An 18717-nucleotide genomic window follows, 5' to 3' on the forward strand; every position below is an offset into this window, starting at 1 on the left:
CCCTATATTTCGAAATGCTGCCTTTATCACCTACTAAATTCCTAAATGTGTTCTTGGGCCTGTTCCTCTATTATCTTCAATTGGTATGTCTGCTTATTATTTCTTTGGTTTTGATATCTGGGTTATGCTGGCTTTGTAAAATTAATTGTAAAGATTTAAAGTCTTCTCTAACATCTGGAACAGTTTCTATAACACAAGAATACAGTCCTTTGAGGGTTTGAAATAATTCACCCATAAAACCATATGGGCTGGGTGCCCTTTTTGAGTGGGTATAGTAATAGCTCTTTAAAAACTTTTCAATTTCTCCTGTGATGATTGTTATTTTTAGTTTGTCACTTTTACTCTAGTCAATTTTGATAATTTATATTTTCCTAGAAAAGCATCCATTACGTTGAGGTATAATTTATTTACATAGTGTTGTACAGAGCAAATTTTTATAATTTGAATAATTCTCTCTACCTGTGGTGTTTTACTTTTTCTTATTTCTAATGCTATGTATTTGAGTTTTTTTTTCTTGATTAGCTGGTTAGAAGTTTATTTTAAAACTTTATTGGACTTTTAATCTTTGCACTCTTTAACTGTCTTTAGACTGATTTTATTGTTTCCTTCTTTAACTTTATAGCTTCTTGTCTTTATTTTTAAAATTTCTTATTTAAATAATGAAAGTATGGTTTCTGCCTTCTGTGTCATGCTCAAACCCTAAGGTTCAGCAGACCCTAAGGTTATATTTAACTCTATTAATTTTTTTTTAACATTTAAACATTTGATCTATTTTGAATTTATTTTTGTGTGTTTTCTGACAGCAGTCTGATGTGATTCTTTCATAGTTAGTCTATTTTTTTTTCCTGACTAGATGCTGCTCATAGGAATTTATCTTTTTTCTTATAGTTTAGAAAATTATTTTAATCTATCTTGGTACAGGACACTTTCCATTGAATTTTGTCTGAGACATGATGAATTCTTAAATCCGAGTTGAGGATTGTTTTTTAAAAATTCTGACATTATGCCATGGACAGCTGAAGGCAGAGTGGGGGAGTGGGGAGAGCTCTAGCTCTCCAGCCCACCAACTTGGGTTCAAATGCTCTTGGCTCTGCTTCTTTGTAACTGAGTGAGTTGCTCCAGTCTCCGTAAAATGGGGCTCTTACAAGTCCCAACCCTCATGAGGCGGTTGTAAAAATCATGAGGTTATAAAAGTAAGGTTCTTATAATGTCTAGTACACAATAACCTTAAAGTAACATTTGCTGTTTATCATCATTAAGATGGGCTTTCTATGTTGCTAATCTGATTTTTTTCTGTACCAATTCTGCCTTTTACTGCTTCGTACATGGTTTAAAATGGGCTATTGCATTTGTAGTTTCTTGTCAAGCCTTCTTTTTTTTTTTTTTTATTGATCATTCTTGGGTGTTTCTCGCAGAGGGGGATTTGGCAGGGTCATAGGACAATAGTAGAGGGAAGGTCAGCAGATAAACAAGTGAACAAAGGTCTCTGGTTTTCCTAGGCAGAGGACCCTGGGGCCTTCCGCAGTGTTTGTGTCCCTGGGTACTTGAGATTAGGGAGTGGTGATGACTCTTATGGAGCATGCTGCCTTCAAGCATCTGTTTAACAAAGCACATCTTGCACCGCCCTTAATCCATTTAACCCTGAGTGGACACAGCACATGTTTCAGAGAGCACCGGGTTGGGGGTAAGGTCATAGATCAACAGCATCCCAAGGCAGAAGAATTTTTCTTAGTACAGAACAAAATGGAGTCTCCTATGCCCACTTCTCTCCACACAGACACAGCAACAATCTGATTTCTCCATCTTCTCCCCACATTTCCTCCCTTTCTACTCGACAAAACCGCCATCATCATCATGGCCCGTTCCCAATGAGCTGCTGGGTACACCTCGCAGATGGGGTGGCGGCCGGGCAGAGGGGCTCCTCACTTCCCAGAAGGGGCGGCCGGGCAGAGGCGCCCCCTACCTCCCGGACGGGGCAGCTGGCCGGACGGGGGCTGCCCCCCACCTCCCTCCCGGATGGGGTGGCTGGCCGGGCGGGGGCTGCCCCCCACCTCCCGGACTGGGCAGCTGCCGGGCGGAGACGCTCCTCACTTCCAGACGGGGCGGCTGCCGGGCGGAGGGGCTCCTCACTTCCCAGACGGGGTGGCTGCCGGGCGGAGGGGCTCCTCACTTCTCAGATGGAGTGGCCCGTTAGAGACGCTCCTCACCTCCCAGACGGGGTCGCGGCCGGGCAGAGGCGCTCCTCACATCCCAGACGGGGCGGCAGGGCAGAGGCACTCCCCACATCTCAGATGATGGGCAGCCGGGCAGAGACACTCCTCACTTCCTAGAGGGGATGGCGGCCGGGAAGAGACGCTCCTCACTTCCCAGACTGGGCAGCCGGGCAGAGGGGCTCCTCACATCCCAGACGATGGGCGGCCAGGCAGAGACGCTCCTCACTTCCCAGACGGGGTGGCGGCCGGGCAGAGGCTGCGATCTCGGCACTTTGGGAGGCCAAGGCAGGCGGCTGGGAGGTGGAGGTTGATAGCGAGCCGAGATCAAGCCACTGCACTCCAGCCTGGGCAACATTGAGCACTGAGTGAACGAGACTCCATCTGCAATCCCAGCACCTCAGGAGGCGGAGGCTGGCAGATCACTCGCGGTTAGGAGCTGGAGACCAGCCCGGCCAACACAGCGAAACCCCATCTCCACCAAAAAAATACGAAAACCAGTCAGGCGTGGCGGCGCGCGCCTGCAATCGCAGGCACTCGGCAGGCTGAGGCAGGAGAATCAGGCACGGAGGTTGCAGTGAGCAGAGATGGCGGCAGTACAGTCCAGCTTCGGCTCGGCATCAGAGGGAGACCGTGGAAAGAGAGGGAGAGGGAGACCGTGGGGAGAGGGAGAGGGAGAGGGAGACCGTGGGGAGAGGGGGAGGGAGAAGGAGAGGGAGAGGGAGAGGGAGACGGAGAGGGAGAGGGAGACGGAGAGGGAGAGGGAGAGGGCTCAAGCCTTCTTTTTTCCCTGTCACTCCTTTTATATTTTCCTTTACTTCTTTGCTCCTCGTCTGTTCTCTCCCGGCAGTTCTGCTTTGTTCCACAAAAACTACATCTTCTTGTACTCTACTGAGGATTCCAAATCATTTTCTGTAATATGCAGGTGAATGCTTTCCTGAATCTTATGGATGTGGTTTCCATATCCTGGTTGGCTCTCTGCCCTCTCCCTGCTTTATTCACTCTCCCACAAGATCTGTTCAGTGTTGGTATCTCTCACAGATAGGGTGTGTGGGTCTTTCTCTGTCCATCCATCTCCTCAGATCTTTAGCTGGAGGACAGGTTAACGTGCCCAGTTTCTGGCCGACTCTACCCAGTGCTCTTGAAGCTGGAGATCGTCTCCAGATTCTAGATCTGTAGGAGACCTCTAGGAGTTCTTCTCCTAGAAGAGGAGACTGGAGGAGATACCATTTTTAAAAATGTTCTTTTTTTTTTTTTTTTTGAGATGGAGTCTTGCTCTTTTCGCCCAGCCTGTAGTGCAGTGGTGTGATCTTGGCTCACTGCAACCTCTGCCTCCTGGGTTCAAGCGATTCTCCTGCCTCAGCCTTCCAAGGAGCCAGGATTACAGTTGTCTGCCACCATACCTGGCTAATATTTTTTATTTTTAGTAGAGACGGGGTTTCACCATGTGGGCCAGGCTGGTCTCGAACTCCTGACCTGAGGTGATCCACCTGCCTTGGCCTCCCAAATGTTAACATCGTTTTTAAGCAAGACATTGTTAACTTAGACTTCTAGCTGCTTGATGTCCTCAGATCCTTCCGTAAATGTAGGCAGCTATCAGAGGCATGTACCTGACATTGTTTTTCATTCACTTCATTCTTTTAGGAGATGCTTATTGAACATATGCCTTCTGTCAGGGGCTGGGCATAGAGGGTTGAACAAAGTATTCTTGGTCTCACCCTCAGGGAACTTAGAGTCCTGGCAGGCGACAAACAAATAGACAAATAAAAATATGGGTATAAGTTGTCTTAAGTGCCCTCGAAGAGAAGGACATGCATGGTGAAAGAGAATAACAGAGTAGGGGAGAGCTGCTTCTGCCTGACAGAATCAAGGAAGGCTTCTAGGAGGAGGTGTCTTAGGCTGCCAGAGGGGAAGCCACCGGCACGTGAGGAGTAGGAAAGAGTTCCAGGCAGAGGTGATGACATATTCCAAGGCCATGTGGCAAGAAAGAAATGAAAAGACTGGTTTGGCTGAGTTCTCTGAAACATTTAAAGGGCAACTTTTAATTATAGAAAATTTCAAGTACACGCAAAGGTAGAGAATTGTACAGTAAACTCCCAGATACCCTCCCTGAGCTTCCACATCTAGCTGCTCTCTGCCTTCTGATTTCCTTGTTGGAACTTTGGACTAGTCCCAGAAACGACCTTCCTGAAGGCACTGCGAACTTCCTCTTCCTGCCCCAGCCCCTCCCTTCCTCGCTGGGGGAACAATCTGTTCCGGGATGTGGCCCCTTCACTAATTGCTGTTCAGATAGTTTCTAAGGAGGGCTGTCTCCTGCACAGGTAGAGAGATTTGGGGGTGGTAATGCAGACAGAGGGTCACCTCACAGGTCAGTACTCTTGGTATGGAAGGAACCTCGTCTTCAGTTTTCTGACTGGCACTGTCTCTCATCTCTCAATCCAGGGGCAGACAGTGGTGGGGGCACACTGTGGCATTTCTGACTGTTTTCCGACAGTTGTGTTTCATGACGCTGCAGCCGTGCCTACCACCAGCCCCCTGATGGAGAGTTAACATCCCCCGACCTGTCTTCATTTCTATGCTGTGTGAGCCCTCACCTTTCTCTGTGTCCGCATGAGTGTGTTGGTGGGAAGGTAAGAAAGATGTTTATGTGGTCACTAGATGGCGCTCAGGTCACGGGCAACCCAGCATGCTGCGGAAGGCATTCAAAGTCGGGACCACCTTCCATCACAGATGGTTCTGGAAAGAAATGAGAATCTTCTTGCAACCAGCTAACCGGTTTTGAACATGCAGTTAAATAGCTTGATTTAAGTGGCAGTAAAAGAGTTAAACTTGTGCATCCAACTGGAGCTGTCCTTGATGACTCTCGGACTCTGCCGACCCGTTCCTGCAGAGGTGGGTCCCTTTCTGGGGCCAGGGCCTCTCTCCGGCCTTGAGGTCGGGCCCTTGCCTTGCTCGGGCCAAGCCTCCCCGACTTGCCTGCAGCCCCCTCAGAACGCGTCGCTCCAACTTTCCTTTCAGCCCTTTTTTATGTTGTTTCTCCACGTTGTGGGCTTGTAGCCCATTGGGGTGATAGACAACACTTCTATTTCCTCACTGCTCTCAAAGACCAAATGAAACTGAACTGTAAAAACAAGTTCTTTCTCTGTATTTCCCCGCCTCAGGGTTCACCAGATGATTTGGTTCAACTAGCAGTTTTTGTTTTTCTGTTTTTGTTTTTGTTTCCAGTGAGGGCAAGACCTGACACTAACCTTTTAAACACCTCTGCCCACAAATTTGCCTGGGCGCACTAGAGTGTTCCTTGGACCCTGTGCTCTGAAGTATTAAGTAAGAATTTTGTTTTTTAAAAAAGAGTGCTTTCCTTAGAAGCTGCAGGTCTTTTGAGAGGTAACAGGCACGTGAGCTCTGTGAAACATACACAGATTCTTTGATAACTTTATACATAGGAAACTCATGCTCCATAAATAGCACTTGTATCCTAGTGTTTTCCATAGTTAAGAAATCCAAAGTTAGTCTCCTTTTGTCTCTGGAATGTAGATGATGCTGATTTCCCAGCAGTTTTCAGTTTCTCCTCTTGCCTGGCGCAAGCGAGAGTCAGGCAGCCAGCCGCCATGGGCTTGGGGATGTGCCGAGAGGCAGAGGGAGCTGGCGGGGCAGACCGCAGGTGATGGCCTCAGCTTCTTCATGCATGTTCCGGGGACTGTGTGCAGGGCTGGGACTTGTGGCTCACTGGGCTGGGAGGTCCTGCTGTCTATCTCCTTCAGCTTCCCCCAGGTGAGGCAGCTGGGCTTCGTTGCTCGGGCCACAGAACTGGGAGCATTCATCTGTGTTTTGGGCTTCCACAGCCCCAGCTTCCTGGGCTGAGGGAAAACACAATAAAACACTTGTGTTTTGGCAGAACGGTGATGTGGACTAAATAGAGGCTTTGTCTTGGGTGGCTTCACTGGTCACTGTGCTCTTGAACTGTCTGCAGACACAGGGGCGAGAGCCCGGGATGGACCTTCACACCCAGAGACTGCGATCCGCCCCCAAGTCAGGAGTCATTGACCTAAGACACCAACAGGGCTGTGTCTTATTACACATTCCCAGTGCCTCCTCCTGCACCTGGTTAGGCTTGCTGAATGAACAAATGAATGAAAGAATGGGTGAATTAGGTTGGGTGCTGTGGCTCACACCTGTAATCCCAGCACTTTGGGAGGCTGAGGTGGGTGGATCACCTGAGTTCAGGAGTTCGAGACCAGCCTGGCTAACATGGTGAAACCCCATCTCCACTAAAAATACAAGAAATAGGTGGTGGTGGGCACCTGGAATCATAGCTACTTGGGAGGCTGAGGCAGAATTGCTGGAACCTGGGAGGCGGAGGTTGCAGTGAGCCGAGATTGGGCCACTGTGCTCCAGTGTGGGCAACAAGAGCAAGACACTGTCTCAATAAATAAATAAATAAAAAGAAAGAAAGAATGGGTGAATTAATGAAAAGGTGTGGTTGCGAGGCAGGCTGCTTCGCAGCCACCCACTTGATCCTCTGAGCCACCAGAGCCATGTGTTGGTCAGATGGCCGATGGGATTAGGGGGACATCTGCATCTGGGCTGGACACCAGTCTGCAGCCAGAATTCAAAATCAGTCTGGGTGGGAAGCCGACTTTGCCTCTGTAAGAAGCACATGGGGGTTGGAACTGTGACCTTGGCCTCATTAGCCCGAGATAACGGGCCAGGCCTGTTAGTAATCATTTAGAAGGAGCTTAAAATGTGATCTGTTTGCTTCCGGTGGTCCCTGGCCACTGCTCTCCTCGGGCCTGCAGCTGTGTCTGTGTTGGCCCTCTCGCTGTTGCAGAAAACTCCCCATGAGCAGAGCCCTGGCTCGCCCACAGAAGGAAACCTCTTGCTTTGGAGATGAAGGTGACCATGAACTATGATTTTTGCAGCCCTGGTGTCTGCTGGCTGGCATTCATAGCTGAGGCCTCGCTGAGGAGGGCTGAGGGGCTGGGCCGGGCCCTCCTTGCTGTCTTTGCCCTGTCCTCACTCTGGATGGCCACGCTCCCTTCTCTCTTCTCCACTCTTTCTGTGTCTTTGTGCATTCTTCCTTCACAAAGTTTTCCTCAACCCTTGACTTCTGACTGCAGTCACAGAGCTAGGGGCAAAACGAGTGTTTTCTGGAGGACAGCAACAGGTAAAGGTGAACAAGGAAGGGAAGTAATCAGCAAGTTCACCAACCACATCCCGGGTGTGCACGTGACCTCAGACTGCGTTACACTTTACTGTTGGAGAAGGAGAATGGGAAGATCAGATTTGGGAAGAGGCAGAAATCAGAGAGGACAGTGGAGGAAGACTGAGGGGTGTCCGTTTCCTTGGCGCATCGCATACCTGCCTAGCAGTGAGGGACAGATTCAGAGTCCATACATGTGCCAGAGCATTTCCTTCCGTGCTTTTCTTATTTCTAGACATTCCTTACCAACATTCAGGGGCACACCCAAGTGTGTAGCGTGTTCAGCTTGTGGACAGTGTCTGGCTCTGTGATTCCCTGGAAGCGGCCTGTGTCAGAAGCCAGATGCCAGTGCCTGCTGTTGTGAAAACGCAACGTGGAGCCTTCAGGGGGGTGATCCTGGACACGGCCACTAGGTGGAGATGTTGTGCCTTGAAATGTCCCTGCTCGGCGCGCCTGGTCCCAAGCACGACCTGCCTGCGGGCTTGGAGTGTGGGGTGTGCCTTGCTGCCTAGCTCTGGCCCTTTTGTGTCTCCCCACCCTCCCGTTGTGTCTGTACTTTGTTCCCCTCACTTATCTGGCTATCATATGGAAAAGCACATTTTCTTTTCTGAATTATTCCTTGAGTGTATTGAATCAAGTTTCGGGTCTGGTTTTCAACTGGCAAACGGAACACACAGAGTGATGGGCAGGCCAGGTGGGACCCCCAGGGCTCATGGGGTGTTGGGGGCTGCGTCTGGAGGGGCCGTGATGATTTAGTTTATGATAAATTCACAGCTGGGCAGAGGGTGGGGCCTCGGGCCACATCTGTTTCACACCCGGGAGCTGTCTTTCCATCTGTCTGCCTGCCAGCTCTCCATCCACAGCCTGTTCATGTAACCCGTCCTTCTCCCAGCCATGCCCACCCTAACCCCTTTTCCATTTCTTTACGCTTCAGAGGAGCCTGCAGGTGCTGTCAAGCCTTCGAAAGCCTCAGACTGTACGTTGCTGTCACCTTGGGGACAACCAGGGGAGTGGGGCCTTGGGTTTTGGCTAGAGGGGCGAGGGTGCTGGAGGCATGGGGTTTTTGATTTGCCTGAGGTGGGATTGAGATTCCCCCACAAAGGTAAGTCCCTGGACTTACCTTTGCTGTCACCTCTCGGCCTCTGTGGAGCATGTAAATCATCTGGAATGCTTTAAGGGGCAATTTCCTCCCACTTCCCCCAACCCTTCCTAAATGGGATAGGCTTGGGCTGATGCTCGAGTTAGACCACTCTGTCTGGTAGTGAGGGGTAGGGGCAGGCATGGGGGTCTGGAGTGGGGCAGGGGGAGTGTGAGGTGTTTCAGGGGCCAGGAGGAGGCCAAGAGGAGTTAAAAACTCTTGGAGTTGAAATCCCCAAGGTAAATCATAATTGAGATGATTAACGCAAATAATTAGTAATGCTCCTGTTAGCCCACCTACCTGGGCCTCCCACCTCTCCTGAAGGCCAGTGCCCTGTCTGTGCTGGGGTCTAGGAGACAGAAGGTGTTGAAGGAGGTGGGGAGGCCCCTGGCTGAGAGGGGAGGTGAGGCTCCAGCCTTCTGGTCCCTCCCTGTCCTGGCCCCTTCCTCATCCCTAGGGTCTGGGCAGGGGCTCGACTCACAGTGCATGACCTTAGGTCTAGCTCAAACGCTTCTTTGCTGAGGCCATTTGTTTTGTGCCTACTTTGGCCCATCCTTGTGTGGACTGATTGGGTCGTTCCAGAGGGTTCCTGTCTCTGGCCCTGCTTTCTACCTTTGGCATTTTGGAAACAACCTCTTCCCCATTCCTCTGAAAGGGACACTGTGGCATTTTAGGGTTTTCAGAGCATGGCCAGTAAAGTCCCATCTGGGAAACTCAGCTGTGAGCTGGAAAATGATGTTAGTAAAAGAGAGCCTCCAGAAAAGGATGAAAGAATGTGGAGAGATTTCCCCTCTTCAGGAGTGTAATTCTCGAACTCTCCTCTGACCTGCTCTGTTAAAAAATTGTTCTTTGTACAATGTGTGTGTGGGGAGGAGATTCTGGGATAAGGCAAGGCCGTTAGGGCAGAGGGTATGTGCCTGGGGGCTACCCTAGGGAGGAGGAACGGCTAGCTGGGCTCCATCCCTGGCCTCCTGGGAGATGGTTTCTCTGGTTACCGGGCTCTGGGACCTCTTAGCCCCTCCCCATTGGCTGCAGGGCCTACAGTGCCTATAGAAGCGTAGGATGGAGAGCACATGCAGGACATGCTGGGGGTGGGGCTGGGGAGGGGCACGAGCAGTGGAGGGCCTCAAACCCCAACTTTGTGTGCTGGCTGAGTGCATGGGCTTTGAGGTGACACCATTCTGGACCCTGCCACCTTGTAGTCTTGTGTTTCTTTGCATCTCCAAGCCTCGGTTTCCTCATCTGTAAAATGAGACTAATAAAAATATGATTGCATCTCAGCATGATGGTGAGGAGTAAAGAGACTTAGGGGAGGGCGTGAGAGCTATCGCTCGTGGCGTTCTTCTTTATACACTGACAGGAGCTGCATCTGGTGCATGTGGGGGGGAACTGAGGGCCAGGGGTGGGCTCAGGTTGGAAGGTGGCTGGGTGGAGCATTGGGAAGCCCCACTGGGCCGACCCCTCTGATTGCCACTTGTGTCTCCCAGTGGATGACTACCTGGGCTTCCTCCCCACTTTTGGGCCCTGCTACATCAACCTCTATGGCAGTCCCAGAGAGTTCACAGGCTTCCCAGACCCCTACACAGAGCTCAACACAGGCAAGGTAAGCCGGCTGGAGCCCTGGCAAGGGCAGGATGCCAGATGCCCAGGTCCCTCAGGAGCCCAGGCCTGCATGCAGGGTCTTCCAGCCCCTCCTGGGGGCCCACGACCTGGCAGCCAACCCCTCAGGGAGTTCTCCTTCTGCCCCTTGACACTGCCTCTGCCTGAGTGCCAGTCTGATCCTTCCATGTTCCTCGCCTTGAAGCACCCAGGCCCCGTCTCTCTGTCTTTGTCTTTTAGGCTGAGTTGGCATCTGGCACTGTCCATCTGGGTGGCTTGTCATATCCCCCGAACTCTCTGGGCCATGCTTTCCTCACCTGCAGGGGGGATGAGGTTGGCTGAGGGACCTCCTGGGTGCCTGAGAGATGAGCTACCTCAGGGCCAGAGGGTGCCCCTTTCCTTCCCCTCCTCCCCTCTGTCTCCCCTGCTCCTTGTGACCTGACCTCCCTGGCAGGGGGAAGGTGTGGCTTATCGTGGCCGGCTTCTGCTCTCCCTGGAGACCAAGCTGGTGGAGCACAGTGAACAGAAGGTGGAGGACCTTCCTGCGGATGACATCCTCCGGGTGGAGGTGAGGGGTGTGGCTCTGGGTGGGAGCTGGGCGTCGGGGCAGGGAAGGGATGGCCAGGCTGGGACTGGCCTTGAGGTGTCATGGCCGAGGGAGGAGGAAGCTCTGCCCACACGCATCGTGCCTTTACCTCCCCGGGCCTCAAGTCTCAGCTGTAAAGTGGGAATAAATCAACACTTGCCCTGCTTCCCTGGAGGGATGATCAGAGGCTCAGAGAAGATAAATGAAAATATTCAAAAAGTCTAGAGCTTGATGCAAAATGAGATGCGATTTTATATTAATAACATAAGGATAGCTAACTGTTAAGTCAAATAAGCACTGAACATGTATCAGGCACTGTGCTGCTGACACCTCTGCCATTACTGACTCCTCCCAGCACCATGAGGTGGCTGCTGTTATTATTATTATCCCCATTTCACAGATGAGGAAACAGGCTCAGATATATCAGAGGAACAAATGGTAGAGCTGGGCCTTGTGTCCAGGAGGTAGCTGTGTGGAGTCTGTGTGGTGCTTTAAGCTCTTAGACACAGTGGTCAGATCGCTCTGGTTTGAATCCTGGCTCTAGCACTTACCGGCTGCATCAGTTTCCCTATCTGGAAAGTGGGGGTAATGATTATACTTATCTCATAAGACAGTTGTGGGAATTAAGGAAATTAATACACATATGCAGTAAGCACTTACTAAGTGCTAGCTGTTGCTACTATTTACATTCACCTAACACCCAATTGTCTGACCCCTCTTCTCTCAGTCGTAGGATTGAGTTCCTGCCCTGTCCCCATCCCGTGCTCAGAGCCTGGAGGGGACAATGAGACCCTTTCATCCCAGGCACATGACAGTGGCAGCCCGTGTATCCTGAAGAGCTGGCTGCTGAGGGAGAGACCCTGAGTGGCATGGGGCAGGAGCTCTGGTCAGGCGCCTGGTGGCTTAAAAGCCTTAAGCCCCTCTGAATGGCAGATAAGGCCCGGGTTGCCCCTGCGGGCCCAGTGGGAGCCCCCACTCAGCTGATGTGGTGGTACCATGGCTGCTGGTTTGGATTAGGGGCAGCTTGACCTTGGAGGAGTAGCTCTTATTAGGGAAACGTGGCCAGACACATGCAGACCTGGAATGAGCTTGTTCAGTTAGCAATGAAATCTGGATGCTGTTTCTTTCTTGGGCTACTTGCCACCCGTCAGTCCAGCCAGGAGCTATTGGGTGCCGGTTATGGCCGGGGCCTGCCAGACGTATGTCCCCTCCCCAGCCTGGGTGCCTTTCTTTGCTCCTCCCGTGACCCTCTGGTCTACTCTCTGCTCTCAGAAGTACCTTAGGAGGCGCAAGTACTCCCTGTTTGCGGCCTTCTACTCAGCCACCATGCTGCAGGATGTGGATGATGCCATCCAGTTTGAGGTCAGCATCGGGAACTACGGGAACAAGTTCGACATGACCTGCCTGCCGCTGGCCTCCACCACTCAGTACAGCCGTGCAGTCTTTGACGGTGAGGCAGTGCTCCTGGCTGGGACCCCGATCACAGGATCATAGAGCAGGGGGCCACACCTTAAATCCCGCCTCCCATGGAAAGCTGCCAGAGTCTACTCAAAGGCCCTGGTCCTGGCCCTGGCAAACCTGTTCCAGCTGTCCCCTTGCTCTCCTCCAGGCAAGGGGCCCTGCTACTAGTGCCCACAGATGCAGCTCCTGGGACCAGCTGTGGTCAGCATTGACCCTGACCCATCCTGATCATTTCAAGGAGTCAGCCAGCCTTGGTTTGGACATTTTAGGGAGTGTGGCCTTGGGTTTCCCAGGGCAGCTCTAACATCTCCTCAGTTTTGACATGCCCAGGAGCCCTAATGAGAGCTGCAGCTGTCTGCTCAACTCACGAAGGGAGCTCAGGCACCTCTTCAGACACTAGGGAACACGGGTACGGGCCACTCCACGTGTCCAAGGGGGTTCTTAGATGGGAAGGGTGAGCAGGTGCCTGTCTCTGTCCCACGTGTGGTCCCTTTCCCAGCTCTGCCAGTCCTAGCCCTGGAGTGCCCAGGAGGCTGGCACTCTTAGCACCCCATCCCACCCGCCCTCCACTCCTGGCACAGCGCTCAGGCCCGTCTCTCCATTCCAGGGTGCCACTACTACTACCTACCCTGGGGTAACGTGAAACCTGTGGTGGTGCTGTCATCCTACTGGGAGGACATCAGCCATAGAATCGAGACTCAGAACCAGCTGCTTGGGATTGCTGACCGGCTGGTGAGTGAAAACTTGCCCAAAGCTGCACATGCCTATGCATGCACCTGCTACCCCCGCTGCATGGGGTGTCTCAGACCACCACCCACTGGTGCACACACTGACACACGGCTGTGCCTACTGACCTTTGTGGTTGGTGTCCTCTGTGCCTTGGCAATACCAGGCTTGTGGTCCTGTCCTGCATGCTTGGAAGAGAAAAGAGGGGATGTGAGCAATCTGAGGCAGCCCCAGTGTGCAGTGGGACACAGAGCAAGGGAGCAGAAGGAAAACCTATGCCACGCAGCAGGGCACGGCCTGGCTCTCGCTCGCTTACTCACTCATTACAGGCCTTTGGACTCGTAATGCACACAAGGGCTTGTGCTAGAAACTTCTAGCCAGAAGCTAGAGGCGAGAGGTGAGCAAGCAGTTGGCTCTGTCTTCAGGGAGTCAGTTTATTAAAGGAGGGCATAGGCTCACTTGTGCCTCTCATACAGGGCTTTCCAAACTTAGGTACAGGTGACATTCCAGGGGCAAAGAGATGTGGGGCTCCGAGCAGGGCAGGTGGCCAAGGAGCATCAGGAAGGCATCATAGGCCAGTGAGGGGGCTGTGTCCAGTGCAAGGAGATGGGGGGTGGGAACCCAGCTAGGCCACCATTGCAGGGACCTGGGGGAGGGTGACCAAGCCCTGGGAAGGAGATGGCCTTGGGGGGAAATTGCAGGACTTGAGCTACAAGGCCTTGGTGGCCGACTGGATTTGGGGCTGAGGAAGGGCTATAAGGAGGAACTCAAGTGGCTGGGGAATTGGGAAGCTGGGGAGAAGAGCAGAGCATATGAGGTCAGGTTCTGTTTTGGAGGTGAGGAGGAGCCTTCTGGGGAACCCCCTGCAGATGCTGGATGCTGCAGTCCTGGCACTTGGCCAGAATGGAGGAGAATCACAGGTGGGCAGAGGTGTAGAGGCTAAGGGAGGTGAGGAGGCTGGGCGGGAAGCTGATGGTCCTGGCAGTGGCTGTAGGGGTTTCTGTGGCATGGATGGGGACAGCTGGTGAGAAAGTGGAAGAGACATGTGCAGGCCCTACTGCAGGAGCATGCTCAGATCAGCAGGTGGAGGGAAGGGGGACTGGAGAGGCCTGGGCGTGTCTGTGGGTGGGGAGGTGAGCATGGCTTGAAGGAAAGGTGGACAGAGAAGGGAAAGAGGCCATGGTGGTCCCACCTTCCCAGAGACTGGCAGCTCTAGGGGAAAGAGGAGACCAGCGAATGCTGAGATGGGGAGAACATGGAGTTGATGCTATATAGCTCCAGTATCTGCCTTCTGGGCCCATCACTGGCTCACAGCAAGACTCCAGACTCCAAGAGGGCAGGGACCGTGTTCTTTCCAGTTCTACGAGATTGGTAGTCCAAGTCCTGAGCACGTGTCCTTGCTCAGGAAGGCTGCTGGGTGGGGAGGGGTGTGTCGGGGGCTGAGGGACAGTCCTTGGCCTCTCAGCTCAGGGCTGAGGACCCATGGAGAGGGCTGGAGAAGAGCTCGGTAAGGGCCTGTTTCCCTGGGAGGCAGCACAGGGAGTGAGCAGGCCACAGGAGTTTGAGGAAGGAGCTGTCTGTGATTAGAGGTGGCAGGACGAATCCTGGAGGAGGGCGCTCTTAGTCTGAGCCTCATTGGGTGGTAGAATCTGGAAAGGAGAGAGGGTTCCAGGTGGGGAACCAGAGCAGGCTCGGAGAGGGCCACTTACCTGTGGGAAGCCAGGCCTGGTTTGAGGTAGCAGGGAGGAGTCAGAAGCCATCAAGTTCTGCCCAAGTCTGCAGACACCCCCTGAGCTCCTCATGACTACATGTGAGGCTGGAGTTACAGGCATGAGACTGGATGTATTTGGGCGTGGGGAGCCTTGGAAGGTTCTTGAGCCAGGATAGACCCTGGTTTGTTGGGCCTGGACTCTGCCTTCTTTGCTCTAACTGTTCACTCCTTTTTGGTTCAGTAGCAGTGACAAGGCCTGGGGGTTGGGTCCAGCATGCACCCTCTGCCCTGTGGTGACACACCTGACCCTTGCCTGCCCATTCCACAGGAAGCTGGCCTGGAGCAGGTCCACCTGGCCCTGAAGGCGCAGTGCTCCACGGAGGACGTGGACTCGCTGGTGGCTCAGCTGACGGATGAGCTCATCGCAGGCTGCAGGTAGGGGGGACCTGGCGCCCCTGGTGCCCACCTCTCCTGGCTCAACTGGGCCTGTTTCGCTGGGAGTGCTCGTGTGTGGCAGTGAGCAGTGGCACGTCTCCCAGCCACGCTTGGCCAGCAGTCCAGCCCGTGCTGAGTCCAAAGGTGGTGGAGCCAGTGCAGGAGTTGAAAAGGTGACATTGAGAGCAGGTCATAAATCTCCCTGCAGCAGCGGCAGCTGCGGGCCCGGCGGCCGGCTCACCTGAATGGGGAGCATTGTGTCTCTGATCCCCGACCTCTTATTTCCCTGATGGAATCTCCAGGAGGAGCTGGCTGGGGGGTGGGGTGACGGCGCCCCTCATTCCCTCAAGGCCATGTCGGGGATCATGGTTTCTGTTTAGCTTTCTATTGACATGGCTGATTGTTGACTTCAGGAAAAAAGGGCCCGGGGTGTGGAGGCCCAGCAGAGGGGTGCATCTCACATCTCCTCTGCTGCCATGTGGTTTTGGGGAGCCACCCATGGGTTTTGACCCTTGGTTTTCTCAACTTCAACCTGGCATGAAGAATAACTACTTTATAATATCTTCTAAACAAAGTGCCTGGCCCTTGGGAAGGATTTAATAAATGGTAGCTATAATTATTGCTCAGAAGAAGAAATGTCAGGAGACTTAGCTCCTGGTCTCTTTATCTGACTTGGTAACTTTGGGAAGCTTCTCTTCTCTGGACTTTAGTTTTCTCAGCTGTTAAATGGACTTAAATAATTGCCCCTCTGCTCTCCACAGGGTTAATATATGCAAATGTGTGAATATATGCAAATGTATTCTATGCTCCCATACGCCTCATCACCCCTCCCTCAGCCTGGCTGTACAGCCCTGCTGAACGCATCTGAGAAACTGATAACCATGGTCACTGATCCAGCATCCCTTCTATTGTTTGTGGCTCAGTTAGGAAGTGTATCTTTATCAAAATATTACCCCAGAGAAATGCTCCCGGCCCAGTAGTGGAATTCCAGACAGGCCATTCACCCATTTCCCCCAACCTTCCTGAAGCCTGGCAGGCTCAGTGCCAGATGCCCAGAGCATACTGACAAAGGTACAACTTCAGCCCTCCAGGGATGGTTGGATGCGAAAAATGGGCAGAGGAGGTAAAGTGCGTTAGGAAGTTAGAGGTGAGCACTGTAGGAGCTCTAAGCAGGTGCATCTCATTCCCACAAATTGAATTCAGGGAAGCTTCCTGGAGAAGGGGATGCCCCAGGTGGACTTTGAGGGAGGAGCAGGAGTTAGCCTTTGGAGAGGGGACTGCCAGGGCAAAGGCACAGAAGCCTGAAATGCCTGCTGCCTCCTGGGTGGGGGAAGTGGCAGGAGAGGCTGTTGCCCAATTGGGCGGCCCCGAGGGTCTCTGCTAAGGAGAGCTCAGCCCTGGGAGCAAGGCCGAGGGAAAGGTGATCCCAGGGTCTAAATGCTGCAATGTGAGGAATGGACTGGTGGTGGCGGCGAATGGCAGGTGCTGGGACCAGGGGAGGGGAGACTGGACATACGGCAGGTGAGCTGTGATGATGGTGTAACTAAGACAGTGATAGTGGGAGGGGTGGGGGCTAGGGCAGCATGGACTATTTAGGAGGGATTATGATGACAAGCAGTCTTCTGTGCCAGGCATTGTCCTAAGAATTTTACATGTATTAACCAACCATGAAATCTTATGAACTAGAAAGTAGGCTGGGTGTGGAGGCTCACAGCTGTAATCCCAGCACTTTGGGAGACTGAGGCAGACAGATCACTTGAGGTCAGGAGTTCAAGACCAGCCTGGCCCCATCTCTACTAAAAATACAAAAATTAGCCATGTGTGGTGGCGGGTGCCTGTAATCCCAGCTACTTGGGAGGCTGAGACAGCAGAATTGCTTGAACCCAGGAGGTGGATGTTGCAGTGAGCTGAGATTGTGCCCCTACACTCCAGACTGGGTGACAGAGCAAGACTCTGTCTCAAAAAAAAAAAAAGTAAATGACCCTCGTTTTACAGATAGGAAACTGAGGCACAGAGAGGTTAACTTGCCCAGATTCACACACCTGGTGAGTGGCAGAACCCCCTTGCTGTGCTGCTCTGTAATGGACAGAACCTGATGATGGGGTGAATATGGGAGCCACAGGAGGGTTCAGAATGATCCCCTGATCCTGGCCAGGGGGGCTAGGTGGGCATGGGGGCTGTGCTCTGAGAGGGTCAGCAGGAGGAGGAGCCAGTTGAGGGGGAGGTGAGGCATTCAGGACAGGCTGTGTTGAGGTATCTGTGAGGAAGCTGGCCTGTGGTCTGGAGGTGGGAGGACAGAGTGGGGTTGGAGGGGCACATATGGGCACGGTCAGCCTGTGGTGGCTACAGCCACTGGGTGAGCTCCCCAGGGCATCCCCGGGGCCCCAGATCCCACCTGCAAGGTGACTCATGGTGCCATGTTGGCACCACCTTGGGTGAGGTGGGTGGGCCAGGACTCTGGGTTCTACCCGTGGCCCTGCACATGACCCCCGTGTTGTTTGTAGCTTGGCAGGTCTGAGGAGCCTGGAATATCTGAGACCTGTGGGCCCTGAGTCCTTGGCTGCCCTCAGTGACCTCTGCAGGGCTCTGCTCTTGGAGGATCTGCCTACAAACAGTTCTGGCGCCTTTGAGTCACTCTCCTGGGGTTGGAAGAGTGGCTGGGCCTCCCAGCAGGGAGGCTGGTTCCAGCTCAGGAGCTTGGGAGGGGAACTGGGTTCCCGTCCTCTTGAGAATGCATAATGCCTCTCTGGGGGGGAATTCCAGGCAGCAGGAGCAATTCGCTCAGCTCCACCTGAGGCCACTGAGTGGCCCAGCACCTCAGCTAGAGGGCTTCCTCCACCTCTCACTGCAGTGCTGAGCACCATCACAGCTGATAGGCAGAGCAGCCGGGCATGGGGGCCCTGAGCGAACTCAGGCCCATAGCTGAACACAGCAGCTCACCCTTTCTCCAGTCAGCCTGGCCCACTTCTCCAGCATCGGTGTTCCTCATTCCATCTCAGCCCTTTTCCCGGCTCATCTTCCGGGAGCCTCCCCCTTCCCCAGGGCTGGTGGTGTCCACTCTGTTCCTCCAGCCCAGCCCTCTTCTCTGATCTCTAGACCTATGAACCCAAGGTGCTGGACATGTCCACGTGGATGTCCCACCAGCACCTCCGTGCTGCGTCTGGGGCTACACATGTTGCAGACAGGTTTCATCACCTCCCAGCACTGTCTTTTCCTGGGTCCCCAGAATCCACGCTGGAAACCTGAGCCAGCTCTGACTGCCCTCCTCCTCTTTTCTCTGCCCCAGCCCTGGTGGCTCTGCCTCACCCATGTCCTTCCTCCTTCCTTCCTCTCCCACCCCTCCTTTAGTATCCCCATCGTCTTCAAGCTGTGTCATGCCTGCCTCCATGTCAGCCCTGCAGTGGCTGCTGCTGCATCCAGGAAAAGCCCCTGCTCTCATCCTGGTGGACAGGCCTTTCTGTCCCCACCACCTGCCTCACGGAGCCCTAACGCTTCTGAAGCTCTGCGCTAGTTTGTCCGGCCCTCAGCACCCCCACCCCTACAGGCTCCCCCTTGCCTCTGTGTCTTTGCACTTGTGCACATGCTGCTCCATCAGCCAGGACGCCCTTCCCACTCTTTGGGCCTTACTAACGCCTGCTGGCCCTGCCAGGT

At 53.2% G+C, this 18717-nt stretch overlaps 1 protein-coding gene across 14 annotated transcripts in view, besides 3 other annotated features; it reads left to right on the plus strand.

Moving 5' to 3' along the window:
- The window catches only part of DYSF (dysferlin), a 233203-nt gene that overhangs the window by 87445 nt on the left and 127041 nt on the right, over positions 1 to 18717 (plus strand). For 8 of the 14 annotated variants that reach the window (NM_001130981.2, NM_001130980.2, NM_001130977.2 and 5 more), the window contains 5 exons: positions 10036 to 10151; positions 10602 to 10715; positions 12006 to 12183; positions 12802 to 12926; positions 14960 to 15066. In NM_001130981.2, coding sequence (NP_001124453.1) covers positions 10036 to 10151; positions 10602 to 10715; positions 12006 to 12183; positions 12802 to 12926; positions 14960 to 15066 — 640 coding nt within the window. Of the gene's footprint in view, positions 1 to 8344; positions 8387 to 10035; positions 10152 to 10601; positions 10716 to 12005; positions 12184 to 12801; positions 12927 to 14959; positions 15067 to 18717 lie in introns of all 14 variants that reach the window. The other 6 variants (NM_001130979.2, NM_001130978.2, NM_003494.4 and 3 more) reach the window with 1 other exon arrangement.
- Positions 4742 to 4821: an enhancer, noted in NCBI's record as "active region_16019". NCBI's record gives its function as "activates an Ori minimal core promoter by ATAC-STARR-seq in GM12878 lymphoblastoid cells {active_cell/tissue: GM12878}" and the evidence as "EXISTENCE:reporter gene assay evidence [ECO:0000049][PMID:35858748]".
- Positions 11742 to 12243: an enhancer, noted in NCBI's record as "H3K4me1 hESC enhancer chr2:71779877-71780378 (GRCh37/hg19 assembly coordinates)". NCBI's record gives its function as "activates a minimal SCP1, AML or CMV promoter by ChIP-STARR-seq in naive H9 embryonic stem cells {active_cell/tissue: H9 hESC(naive)}" and the evidence as "EXISTENCE:reporter gene assay evidence [ECO:0000049][PMID:30033119]".
- Positions 12244 to 12743: an enhancer, noted in NCBI's record as "H3K4me1 hESC enhancer chr2:71780379-71780878 (GRCh37/hg19 assembly coordinates)". NCBI's record gives its function as "activates a minimal SCP1, AML or CMV promoter by ChIP-STARR-seq in naive H9 embryonic stem cells {active_cell/tissue: H9 hESC(naive)}" and the evidence as "EXISTENCE:reporter gene assay evidence [ECO:0000049][PMID:30033119]".

The sequence above is a fragment of the Homo sapiens genome, chromosome 2 (genome assembly GCF_000001405.40).
Source record: "Homo sapiens chromosome 2, GRCh38.p14 Primary Assembly".
In the NCBI taxonomy this organism is placed as follows: Eukaryota; Metazoa; Chordata; class Mammalia; order Primates; family Hominidae; genus Homo; species Homo sapiens.